This window comes from Homo sapiens, chromosome 8 (genome assembly GCF_000001405.40).
Source record: "Homo sapiens chromosome 8, GRCh38.p14 Primary Assembly".
In the NCBI taxonomy this organism is placed as follows: Eukaryota; Metazoa; Chordata; class Mammalia; order Primates; family Hominidae; genus Homo; species Homo sapiens.
The window spans coordinates 102,423,167-102,436,530 of NC_000008.11; the positions used below are offsets into that span (position 1 = coordinate 102,423,167).

The following is a 13,364-nucleotide window of genomic DNA, read 5'->3' on the forward strand; positions in this document are numbered from 1 at the left end:
CTGAGGTTGGGAGTTCGAGACCAGCCTGGCCAACATGGAGAAACCCCGTCTCTACTAAAAATACAAAATTAACCGGGCATGGTGGCACATGCCTGTAATCCCAGCTAGTCAGGAGGCTGAGGTAGAAGAATCACTTGAACCTGGGAGGAGGAGGTTGCAGTGAGCAGAGATCGTGCCATTGCACTCCAGCCTGGGTGACAAGAGCAAAACTCCATTTCAAAGTAACAAAAATAATAATGCTATAATGAACATTTGTGTGTAAGTTTTTGTGTGAACATACATTTTCAATTCTCTTGGGTTGGTACCTAGGAATGGCCTATGGTAACTGTGTTTCACTTTTTGAGGAAATGTCAAAACGGTCAAACTGTTTTCCAAAGTAGCTGCTCTATTTTACATTCCCATCAACAATATATGAAGGTTTTAATTTTCCACATCCTTGCCAACATTTATCTGTCTCTTTTGTTAAAATCTTTTTTTTTTTTTTTTTTGAGACGGAGTTTCACTCTTGTTGCCCAGGCTGGAGTGCAATGGCACGATCTCGGCTCACCGCAACTTCTGCCCCCCAGGTTCAAGTGATTCTCCTGACTTAGCCTCCCTCGTAGCTGGGATTACTTGAACTTAGTAATTGCTTGAACTTAGGAGGCAGAGGTTGCAGTGAGCCAAGATCGTGCCACTGCACTCCAGTCTGGGTAACAGAGCAAGACATTGTCTCAAAAAACAAAACAAAGAAAAAAAATGTATGTATATACACACAAACACACACATATATATATATATGTATACATATATATACACATATACACATATATATACATATATATACACGTATATATATATGACTGTATGCCAAGCACTGTTACAGATACATGCAATGAGATAAGTAAAGTTTCTGCCAGCCTCATGGGGCTTACAGTCAGTGACAAGAGAGGTAAGATTTCAGATACTTCAACAAGAGGTTAAGTAACTTGCCCAAAGTCACACAGTAAGTAGTAGAGTCATTATGGAAAGCAAGATCAATCCCATGGGACCCTAGTGGTCATTTAACCTAATGTCCTCTTTTCACATAAGAATCTGAGGCTCAGGGAGGCTAAATTGCTCAGTATCACCTGACTTGTTACATACTGCCACAAATATAAAAGTGTCTGAAGTGTGGGAGTGCAAGGGGACCCTAGGTTCTCAAGGTCAATCCATCTGAGACCTCTTTCAACTAGCTTAATGCGCCTTGGCACCTTAAGATGCTCTCAGAAATATAAAAAGACCTCCAAGATGCATTAACAATTGTTTGTCGCTGTTTGCCACCTGCTAGGCATTGTGCCATGCACTGAGAACCTGGCAATGACCAAGACAGTTGCAGTTCATGCCCCGTGGGTGTATGGAATCTGGTGGTGCCCAAGTGCAGGTTTGATAGCTATTCCAGTGGCTACCTAAGACTCATCTTTGGAGACAAAGATACCTACAGATTTCTGGGCCCCTCCACACTACTGTGATTCCATTGATCTGGAGTCAGCCTGGAATCTGTGTTTTTGACGCTTTGCAGGTGTTTCTAGTGTACCAGTGATTTGAGGAACCACTGACCTGCTATACCCCACCACTTGGCTTTATTTTTTTTTCTTTTTATTATTTATTTAATTACTTATTTATTTTTACAACTTGACTGTTAGAGCTGAGAAAAGCAAGACTAAGAGAGACTTACGCAATCCCACAACCAGATCAAATATGTTTAATGCCCAGACCACAGGGCAAAGCATTCATTCGTTCACTGAACAAACATTGAGCTCCTACCATGTACCATGCAGTATGTTGGGCACTAGAATCACAGCAAAGAGTAAGAGCACAGGTCCTGCTCTCATGGGGCTTCCATTTGTTGGGGGTGGGTGTAGGAGGCAGGGAGAAAGCCAGAAAAGAAAGAAACCGTGATTCTAGTCATGGAAAGTACTACAAAATGAGACTGAGCACTGAGTCAGCAGAAGGTATACTAGGTTGAACCTCATAAAATAGCCAGTATTTGGCCATTTTGATCCACAGAAACAAAAATTTCATATGGTTCAGCTTTATAAATAGGAGTTCAAAGGAGATTGAGTCCTTTCTCCCCAGGATAAAAAGGGAAGGTGGCTGGCTGGGCACAGTGGCTCATGCCTATAATCCCAACACTTTGGGAGGCCGAGGCTGCGGATCACTTTGAGGTTGGACATTCGAGACCAGCCTGGCCAACATGGCGAAAACCCGTCTCTACTAAAAATACAAAAATTGGCCAGGCGTGGTGGCGTGCCTATAATCCCAGCTACTTGGGAGGCTGAGGCAGGAGAATCCCTTGAACCCGGGAGGTGGAGGTTGCAGTGAGCCGGAATTGTGCTACTGCACTCCAGCCTGGGCGACACAGCGAGACCCTGTCTCAAAAAAAAAAAAGTGAAGGTAGCCTCACAAGATGGATGTGATTTGAACATGTGAAGGACAAATAAAAGCCTAGAGGAAGGATGTGGTTAGAGCAGTGTCTCTGAGGAGAAATTGTGGACAAGAAGCGGGAAAGCAGGACAGAATGAGACATTGATTCCATGGATATAGAGGGAACACTGTGCTGGGAGCTGCACAGCTCATGAAAGAAGTATAATGCACACTCGCTGTTCTTAACAAGCCTACAAGGCCGGGCACAGTGGCTCACGCCTGTAATCCCAGCACTTTGGAAGACCAAGGCAGGCAGATCACCTGAGATCAGGAGTTTCAGACCAGCCTGACCAACATGGAGAATCCCCGTCTCTACTAAAAATACAAAATTAGCCGAGTGTGATGGCAGATGTCTGTAATCCCAGCTACTTGGGAGGCTGAGGCAGGAGAATCGCTTGAACCCAGGAGGCTGAGGTTGCAGTGAGCCAAGATCGCACCATTGCACTCCAATCTGGGCAACAAGAGTGAAACTCCGTCTCAAAAAAAAAAAAAAAAAAAAAAGCCTACACTTTGGTTAAAGACATGGTAAAACCCGTGAATATAAAGAATCAAATACCCACTTCCACACAAAGATTCATGCCATAGCCACTGCCCTAAACACCCTTCCTGCCATTGGTTGCCCTGCCAAAAGCTACCTGTCCTCACTCCCTGACCCCACTGCTACTCCCCTCTATGACGTTATTCTCTTCTCCGCAGTTAGGAGAGATGGCTCCCACCCCTGATTCCATGGCTCACTCTTTATAGGTCTTCTCTTTTTCTCTATTATTATTATTTTTTTCTTTTGAGGCGGGGTCTCAAAAGGAGTGCAGTAGCACAATCACAGCTCACTGCAGCCTTAACTGTCTGAGCTCAAGTGATCGTCCTGTCTCAGCCTCCTGAGTAGCTGGGACTACAGTTTGGCGCCACCACGTTGGCTAATTTCTTTTTTTTTTGAGACAGAGTCTTGCTCTGTCACCAGGCTGGAGTGTAATGGCATGATCTCGGCTCAGTGCAACCTCCGCCTCCCAGGCTCAAGAGATTCTCCTGCGTTGGCCTCCCAAGTAGCTGGGACTGCAGGCGCCCACCACCATGCCTGGCTAATGCTTTTTATGTTTTTACTAGAGATTGGGTTTCGCCATGTTGCTCAGGCTGGTCTCGAACTCCTGACCTCCAGTAATCCACCTGCCTCTGCCTCCCAAAGTGCGGGATTACAGGCATGAGCCACCATGCCCAGCCTAATTAATTTTTTTATTTTTTGTATAGACAGGGTCTTGTTATGTTGCCCCGACTGGTCTCGAACCCCTAGTCTCAAGCCATCCCCCTGCCTTGGCCTTCCATTCCTCTACTTTATACCACGGTTATTCACCAAGCTTGTCTTTGTTCAGTGTACTTCCTCATGGAAAAACTGAGGTGATATTTACCCTGGTTTTTCTACCAGTGTGTAACTGTCGCTAGTACCAGCTCAAAAAATAAGAAATGAATAAATGAGTGATGACTATCACTATGTTGCTCAGGCTGGACTTGAACCCCTGGGTTCCAGTGATCCTCCCACCTCAGCCTCCCAAGTAGCTGGGATTACAGACATGCCCCATCATGCCCAGCTCGGAATTTTGCTGTGTATTTAGGGTTATGTAAGGCTGTAGTAAATTGTCACAAGGAACAAATTTAGGGATTAAAGTACAGTTTAGTTCTGGGGTGAGCTACCTGCCAAAGTAGGGTTCCTGTCCTAGGGGCATCTTTTAGCTCCATCTCACAAAGACAAAACTTTCACTGTGAGGGGCCAGCCTGTTTATTCAACATGACCAAACTCCATGCTGCTGTCTCCCCTGCTCCGCTCCGCCTGCCAGGGGCTATCAGCTGAGTACATGACCAGCTCACAGCAGCTCTAGAGCCGGCTTTGGCCTGCCCCATTGCTGTATGGTACAGAAAACTCCCACTCTGCCCATCCAAACAAATCCTCAGTGGACACCTGTCAGCCCCTTCTCTGTGGAAATGGTGCGCAGCTGCTGGCCACATTTCCCAAGGCTGCCTGTGTGTACTTGGAAAGCGCGGGTTCCTTCTCATCTATCTTTTCTGTAGAAGAAACAGTCCCTTCAGCTTTTCCTGATAGGCCTCATTTTCCAGCCACTGAAGTTGCTACCAGAGCTCTACATTGGACCCAGGCTGGCTAAGTCTATATGATTCCGGAGTTGATTATTCCAGTTTGTGAATTATCCAGGCCTTTTGCTCCCCAACCTCTGCCACGCCCCTCCCCCCACCCCCCCATTCTCTCTACTTCTGCTGTTTACGTGTCAGGAAATTTTAGTGCTCAGTAACATCTCCCTCAGTGTCTGGGAAGAATACCAATACTTAGATTTGTTTGGTGCTTTGCAGTCTACAAAATGACATTTCATGCACAAACTTACTTTAGCCTCCTAAAAGTCCTGCAGAGTAGATTGCATTATTCTCTTTTCCAGCTAAGCAGTGATAAATGACTTGTCTGTGATCACACAATCAGCAAGTACAATTGGGCCTTGAACTCAGCTCACAATTCTCTGTCCAGTGTTATCACTATCAAACCCACGGGGAATGCAAATTTTCCAATTTTGCTATCCATTAGAAGTCATGGAAAGAGCTGGTTGGGAGACGGTTTTCCTGATACTTACGATGAGGTTGATTTAATTCTGTCTGCCTCAGTGGCTGGAACACTTCACTTTGGCAGCCAGGCTGGAGGGCAGTGGATCCCTTGAGGGGTCCACAGATTCAACAACCGTATGCATGGACCCCAAATGGATACACTTTCTGAGAAGTGTATTTTTTAAAATTGTCACTCTTGGGGTAATAGTGTGTATCCTGCTGGCATTCTGTCCACTGGATCATGTACTAATCACCCAAACAAACAAAAATCAACATCTACATCATGTTTTACAATTTCTGAAGCATTTTGCACTAACTAACTCTCTGATCTATACATGGAAAGAACCTAACTGTGTGAATATCCCCACTTTACAGATGAGAAAAATAAGTCTGAGAGAGCAACTCTGAGTAACTTTCCCAAGGTCACACAATTAGGGACCATTGGGGAAGAGCAGATATTTGACTCCTAATCTTTGGACTAGTTATCCATAATATTTATATCCCATATACTGATGCTAATTAACGTGTGTATAGGCCTTTAAAGTTTTATTTTATTTTATTTTTTTGAGACAGAGGAGTCTGTCGCCACGCTGGAGTGCAGTGACACAATCTCGGCTCACTTACAACCTCTGCCTTCTGGGTTCAAGCGATTCTCCTGCCTCAGCCTCCTGAGTAGCTGGGACTACAGGCACGAGCCACCACACCCTGCTAATTTTTGTATTTTTAGTAGAGACGGGGTTTCACCATGTTGGCCAGGATGGTCTTGATCTCTTGACCTCATGATCTGTCCACCTCAGCCTCCCAGAGTGCTGGGATTACAGGCGTGAGCCACCACACCTGGCCTTTTTTTTTTTTTTTTTCCCTGAGACAGAGTCTCACTCTGTTGCCCAGGCTGGAGTACAGTGGCACGATCTCGGCTCACTGCAATCTCCACCTCCTGAGTTTAAGCGATTCTTGTGCCTCAGTCTCCCAAGTAGCTGGGATTACAGGTGCCCACCACCACACCCAGCTAATTTTTGCATTTTTAGTAGAGATGGGGTTTTGCCATGTTGGCCAGGCTGGTCTCAAACTCCTGACCTCAGGTGATCCGCCCACCTTGGCTTCCCAAACTGCTGGGATTACAGGCATGAGCCACTGCACCCAGCCAGGGTTTTAAAGTTTTAATGGACATTTTCACAATATTAGTTCATTCCATCTTCAACAACACCTTTGAGCAGATACTGTTATTATCCCAATAGTGCATTTATTTATTTATTTATTTATTTATTTATTTAGAGACTGAGTTTCACTCTTGTTGCCCAGGCTGGAGTGCAGTGGTGTGATCTCAGCTCACCGCAACCTCCTCCTCCGGGTTCAAGCAATTCTCCTGCCACAGCCTCTCGAGTAGCTGGGATTACAGGCATGCGCCACCACACCCAGCTAATTTTGTATTTTTAGTAGAGACGGGGTTTTGCCATGTTGGTCAGGCTGGTCTCGAACTCCCGACCTCAGGTGATCCACCTGCCTCGGCCTCCCATCGTGCTGGGATCACAGGTGTGAGCCAACACCCGGCCCCAATATTGCTTTTAAATTCTCTCAGATTATCACTACACCCTTTCACCTTGGAGTAGTAAAGACAACTCTCAAAAACATGTATTTATTCTTTCAACAGATGTTTTGAGTACTTAATGTGTAAAACCCTACACTCATTACTGTGGTCAGAGCCTATGACTTCTGTATTCCTGATTTTCCTTGGTATTTAGCAGAATCAGAACATCCTACTTGTGATTAGCTAGAAACAAGGGCAGACAGACTAACCTAGTATTCTGTAATCAGAAATGGATGATGAGTTTTGCAGAAGGGAAATGACTAGGCAAAATAGGCGGGTGCACAAATGGCACCAGATGCTTTAATGAGTGGCTGTTTCCACAGACTAGAAATCGGTTTTATGGCCAGGCGTGGTGGCTCATGCCTGTAATCCCAGCACTTTGGGAGGCCAAGGTGGACGGATCACGAGGTCAGGAGATCAAGACCATCCTGGCCAACATGGTGAAACCCCGTCTCTACTAAAAATATAAAAATTAGCTGGGCGTGGTGGCATGTGCCTGTAATCCCAGCTACTAGGGAGACTGAGGCAGGAGAATCGCTTGAACCAGGGAGTCAGAGGTTGCAGTGAGCCGAGATCGCACCACTGTACTCCAGCCTGGTGACAGAGCGAGACTCCATCGCAAAAAAAAAAAAAAAATCAGTTTTATATGTGCAGTCTATAAAGGACCATTAGCCTAGCCTTGGTCTTTCAGCCATGTTCACACAGAGATACCAATCATTATGAGTAATGTCATTGTCAAATGCTGAGAATAATATTACAGGACATGGTTATTGAATCAACCAATGATTAAAGGTTTGCTCTGGCACCTGCCTTGAACTGGCTCAAGTTCTGGAGTTCCCATGCATAGGGAAATCAGTGGTGTATTATTTCAGTGATTAAGAGAAGAGGAAAAGGTCACACACCTTTTCTTTTTTTATCTTTTCTTCACTTCTTCTGTTTTTACTCTCTTTTCTCTATAGCTACCCAATGAGGGAAGGTTAATGATTAAATGGAGACACAAGATTGAAAGGGATTGTCAAAAGACTAAGTTACAACAAATTTAGTTTTAGATCTTTTTTTTTTTTTTTTGAGACGGAGTTTTGCCCTTGTCTGTCACCCAGACTGGAGTGCAATGGTGCGATCTCAGCTCACTGCAGCCTCCACCTCCTGGGTTCAAGCGATTCTCCTGCCTCGGCCTCCTGAGTAGCTGGGACTACAGGCGCCGGCCACCATGCCTGGCTAATTTTTGTATTTTTAGTAGAGACAGGGTTTCACCATATTGGCCAGGCTGGTCTCGAACTCTGACCTTGTGATCCACCCGTCTCGGCCTCCCAAAGTGCTGGGATTACAGGCGTGAGCTACCGTGCCTGGCCTCAGTTACCTCTTTTTTTTTTTTTTTTTTTTTTTTTTTTTGATGGAGTTTCGTTCTTGTTGCCCAGGCTGGAGTGCAATGACATGATCTTGGCTCACCGCAACCTCTGCCTCCCGGGTTCAAGCGATTCTCCTGCCTCAGCCTCCTGGGATTACAAGCATGTGCCACCACACCCAGCCAATTTTATATTTTTAGTAGAGACAGGGTTTCTCCACGTTGGTCAACCTGGTCTCAAACTCCCAACCTCAAGCGATCCACCCGCCTCAACCTCCCAAAGTGTTGGGATTACGGGCGTGAGCCACCACGCCCGGCCCAGATGGTACTCTTAAAAGAGGTAACTGAGCCGGGCGCCGTGGCTCACACCGGTAATCCCAGCACTTTGGGAGGCCAAGGCGGGCAGATTGCCTGAGCTCAGGAGTTCGCGACCAGCCTGGGCAACACGGTGAAACCCTGTCTCTACTAAAATACAAAAAATTAGCCAGGCATGGCAGTGGGCACCTGTATTCCTGGCTACTTGGAGGCTGAGGCAGGAGAATTGCTTTAACCTGGGAGGTGGAGGTTGCAGTGAGCCAAGATCGTGCCACTGCACTCCAGCCTGGGTGACAGAGCGAGACTCCATCTCAAAAAAGAGTGCCATCTGATTCCAGGCAGGTCCCTAACTTTTTTTTTTTTTGAGACAGAGTCTCACTCTGTGGCCCAGGCTGGACTGTAGTGGTATGATCTTGGCTCACTGCAACCTGTGCCTCCCAGGTTCAAGCAATTCTCCTGCCTCAGCCTCCCAAGTAGCTGGGACTACAGGCGTGCAGCATCATGACTGGCTAATTTTTGTATTTTTAGTAGATACGGGGTTTCCCTATGTTGGCCAGGCTGGTCTCAAACTCCTGACTTCGGGTGATCCTCCCACCTCAGCCTCCCAAAGTGCTGGGATTACAGGCATGAGCCACTGTGCCCGACCAGGTCCCTAACTCTTATACATCCCAAAGCTTCAACCTGTCTGTGTCTACCTTCCGCCCCTTTCCTGAGATCCTCTCTTATTTTCCTCTTGCTTTCCTCTGTTTCTCATGTTACAAAAATCAAAGCTCATCTTTTTCCTTGTCAGTTCCTTTAGTACTAAGCTGGGTCATTTCAATTGATCTATACTAAATGAAGGCAATGTTTCTTGACCTTAATGACAAGAAAATCCCCTTTAACAGAATTGTCAGGCCCACTTTTGAAGTGAATTTCATCCAAAATAAATGTAAAGCAAATCAAATCAATGCGTTAAAGGCAGCCTTGTAAACTAGGCCCTCCTCTCATTTTAATAAGCCCAATAAAAGGGGTTGTCTCCCCCAGTGCCTGGGAATCTCTAAAATATGGGTGAGATTTCATGTCAATAAGGGTCATTTGCATTAGGTCTTGCTCTATTGCTCAGGGTGGAGTGCAGTGGTGCGATCTCTGGTCACTGCAGCCTCAACCTCCTGGATTTAAGTGATTCTCCCACCTCAGCCTCCTGAATAGCTGGGACCACAGGTAGGCACCACCACACACAGCTAATCTTGTTTATTTTTTTGTAGAAATGACGTCTCACTATAATGCCCAGGCTGGTCTCAAACTCCTGGGCTCAAGTGATCCTCCTGCCTCAGCCTTCCAGGGTGTTAGAATTACAGGCATGAGTCACTGCCTGGCTGAAATTGTTTTTTAAATTCTAAATGAACTTGCAAAGATGAGAATAAAAGGAGACTTTGAAGCTGTCCTTACAGGATTAACAAAAATTCTGTGACTCACGCCTGTAATCCTAGCACTTTGGGAGGCTGAGGCAGGCGAATCGCTTGAGTCCAGGAGTTCAAGACCAGCCTGGGCAACATGGTGAAAACCCATCTCTACAAAAATATACAAAAATTAGCTGGGCATGGTGGCACACGCCTGTAGTTCCAGCTACTCAGGAGGCTAAGACGGGAGGATTGCTTGTGCCTGAGAGGAAGAGGCTGCAGTGAGCCGAGACTGTGCCACTGCACTGCAGCCTGGGCAACAGAAACAGTCCCTGTCTCAAAAAAATAAAATAAAATAAACACACACACACACACACACACACACACACACACACACACACACACAAACCAAAAATAACCAACCAAACAAAAACTCTGGACAAAATGTATTTATAATTAAGCATGAATCAGGCTGCACTAATACTGAGCATTTGCATCCTGATTGTTCCTATGGATAGGATCTCTGACATTAGAATCATAAGGCTTTTAAGAATTGCTTAAGATGTTTTTCAGATCCTGAATGCCAGCCAAACAGCTGACATCAACCAGTTTGAAGACCCCCATAGAAGAATGAAATCAGCATGAGAACACAATTTCTTCATCCCTGTCCCACGACTTCACCCTGCCATCTTCGGCCCACTCCCAAACTCTTAACATCTCTAGCCCCAAACGGTCGGGCCTGGTGGCTCACGCCTGTAATCCCAGCACTTTGGGAAACCGAGGCAGGCGGATCACAAGGTCAGGAGATCAAGACCATCCTGGCTAACACGGTGAAACCCTATCTCTACTAAAAATACAAAAAATTAGCCGAGCATGGTGGCGGGCGCCTGTAGTCCCACCTACTCAGGAGGCTGAGTCAGGAGAATGGTGTGAACCCTGGAGGCGGAGCTTGCAGTGAGCGGAGATTGTGCCACTGCACTCCAGCCTGGGGGACAGAGCAAGACTCCGACTAAAAAAAAAAAACAACAAACAAAAAAACCCTCTAGCCCCAAACTTCTTGGGGAGATAGATTTGAGGTTTCCCCTTGTTGCCTTGTTCAGTGGCCCTATGATGAACCCTCTTTCTCTGCTGTAACATGGTGTCTCCACGAATTGACTTGTTGAGTGCATCGGGCAACAGACCTATTATGGTTGCAATTTGGGGTGTTTTCCCTGGAATCTATTCCCTGGGGTGACTTCTGGTACTTTATAATTAACAGTAAGTGGAATAAAATATTTAATCCAGGAGATCTGCGATGAGATTTATTGTGTAGGAAGGATGCCAACCAAATTTGGAACTCTTGTCCATATTCTAGATAGAGGAGTCTTTGTTCTGAAAAATCCAAAGACTCCCGCATCTTGAATATGGAGAAAGAGAAAAAAAAAAAAAAAGAAGGAAGACTAGAACTGCATGAATTTCCATTTCTAGAACTATTAGGGGGATAACATAAAAATCTTGCAGCCAGACGTGGTGGCTCACGCCTATAATCCCAGCACTTTGGGGAGGCCAAGGCGGGGAGATCACTTGAGGTCAGGAGTTGGAGACCAGCTTGGCCAATGTGGGCATGGTGGGCATGGTGGGGGCCTGTAATCCCAGCTACTCAGGAGGCTGAGGCAGGAGAATCGCTTGGACCTGGGAGGTGGAGGTTGCAGTGAGCCGAGATCACGCCACTGCACCCCAGCCTGGGCAACAGAGTGAGACTCCATCTGAAAAAAAAAAAAAAAAAAAAACTTCCTGCTACAAACTTCTTTAAATGCTGGATAAAACACAACAAACATCCCTTTAATTGTGTAGCTAAGCCCCTGAGAAAGCAAGGGAAATCTCCAAAGACCAAAATCAAAGCTGAAACTGGAAACTAGAGAGAGAAGGGCTAAGGCTGCCACTGCAGCAGCTCGGCTGTGGGTATTAGCCTCCATCTAGGGCATCAGGGCACTTGGGTTTTCATGACCACAAGGGGACAGTAGAGTAGGCATAGAGTTGGAACTGAGACCCCCTGCTTGTAGCTAAAAACTTTGAATGGTTATGCCCCTAGGGAAGGGAAGAACTAAAAAACATCCACTCACTAACACAGGGAAATGACAAGGAAGCTTGTCTGTTTCAGCTTAGACTTTAGATAGGGATAAAAAAAAAAGTCACATCTGATAATTTCACACTATGGCTTGCCCTCACATGAGTTTGGGGCTCAGTTTATTCCACTTCCATGATTCGCACATCTTCAAGCTATGACATTAATGTAGAATGTGGAGCTGAGCATGGTGGTGTGCACTTGTAATCCCAGCTATACAAGAGGCTCAGGCAGGAGGATCATTTGAGCCTAGGAGTTCGAGATGAGCCACCAGCAGCCTGGGCAACATAGGAAATTTCTGTCTCAAACAAAACAAAACAAAACAAAAAAACAGGACTCTGGCAGAAGCAAACACACACACGCACACACACACACACACACACACACACACACACGTTTCTGAAAAACATACCTTCAACTCAGGTTGCACAGAGGCTGTCCTGGTAAAAGCCTGCTGAAGCTGAAGATGAAATTACAATAGAAGTTTAGTGTTCACGCTAAGTTCCAAGCAGAATACATTTTTTTTTTTTTTGAGATGGAGTCTCACTCTGTCGCCCAGGCTGGAGTGCAGTGGTGCGATCTCGACTCACTGCAACCTCCGCCTCCTGGGCTCAAGTGATTCTCCTGCCTCGGACTCCCGAGTAGCTGGGATTACAGGTGCCCGCCACTATGCCTGTCTAATTTTTTATATTTAGTAGAGACGGGGTTTCACCATGTTGGCCAGGCTGGTCTCAAACTCCTGACCTCAAGTAATCCACCTGCTTTGGCCTCCCAAAGCGTTGGGATTACAGGCGAGAGCCATTGCACCCGGCCCATAATAAATAAAATTAACTCTACACCTTGACATGTTGTAGAAAATTTCAAAATACCAAAAAGTATGAGCTAGAGAACAATTTACCTACAAAGGCTGACAAGACAAGCAACAATAAAACCCAAAAGCTAATGGAATAATATCTTCAAAGTGCTGAGAAAAAATAACTGCCATCCTAGTTTACCTATCGTGGTGGAGAAACAGTGAAGTATAGACATTTCAAGCATACGAGAGAGCTCGCCATCAAGAGAGCCTCACTGTAGCGACTACTCACAGAGGTATATTCAGAAGAAGGACACTGAACTCAGGAGAGAGCAACACTCAAGAAACAATGATGACCAAAGAAATCAGGAAACACTTGGGCAAATTCAACAAGTGTTAATTATAGAAAAGAACAATAAAAACAACGTAACAAGAAAAAGCGAGAGTAAACTATGGAACAATATGGAAGTGAGGGGGAATAATCCAAGTGAAGTCACTCTACAGTCTAGTATGGTTTCACAGAGGAGGAAAGCTATGGCAATGATGATTAACTTACACATCGTCAAGTTACATGTGCTTACTTAAAAATTTAACGGTAACCACAAAAGTAATAGAAATTCAGTGAATGGCTTCTAAACCAGAAGAGAGGAAAATGGATGGTGGTTTCAGAGAGGAGAAAAAGAATTTTACCAGGATAGTTTGGAAGGAATTTTCCACACCCAGAATGGTCAGTGCACCTGGAGAAGTCCAGGCTGTGAAGAGGGGAAACTTATTCTTAAATGACAATGAATCCAGAATGGGTC

The 13,364-nt window shown here is 45.5% G+C and overlaps 1 long non-coding RNA gene across 1 annotated transcript in view, besides 2 other annotated features; it reads left to right on the top strand.

The window, feature by feature from the left end:
• The window catches only part of LOC105375683 (uncharacterized), a 110,442-nt gene that overhangs the window by 10,828 nt on the left and 86,250 nt on the right, over positions 1-13,364 (top strand). The gene's annotated exons all lie outside the window — the stretch shown is intronic.
• Positions 11,412-12,137: an enhancer, noted in NCBI's record as "NANOG-H3K27ac-H3K4me1 hESC enhancer chr8:103446806-103447531 (GRCh37/hg19 assembly coordinates)". NCBI's record gives its function as "activates a minimal SCP1, AML or CMV promoter by ChIP-STARR-seq in primed H9 embryonic stem cells {active_cell/tissue: H9 hESC(primed)}" and the evidence as "EXISTENCE:reporter gene assay evidence [ECO:0000049][PMID:30033119]".
• Positions 12,138-12,862: an enhancer, noted in NCBI's record as "H3K27ac-H3K4me1 hESC enhancer chr8:103447532-103448256 (GRCh37/hg19 assembly coordinates)". NCBI's record gives its function as "activates a minimal SCP1, AML or CMV promoter by ChIP-STARR-seq in primed H9 embryonic stem cells {active_cell/tissue: H9 hESC(primed)}" and the evidence as "EXISTENCE:reporter gene assay evidence [ECO:0000049][PMID:30033119]".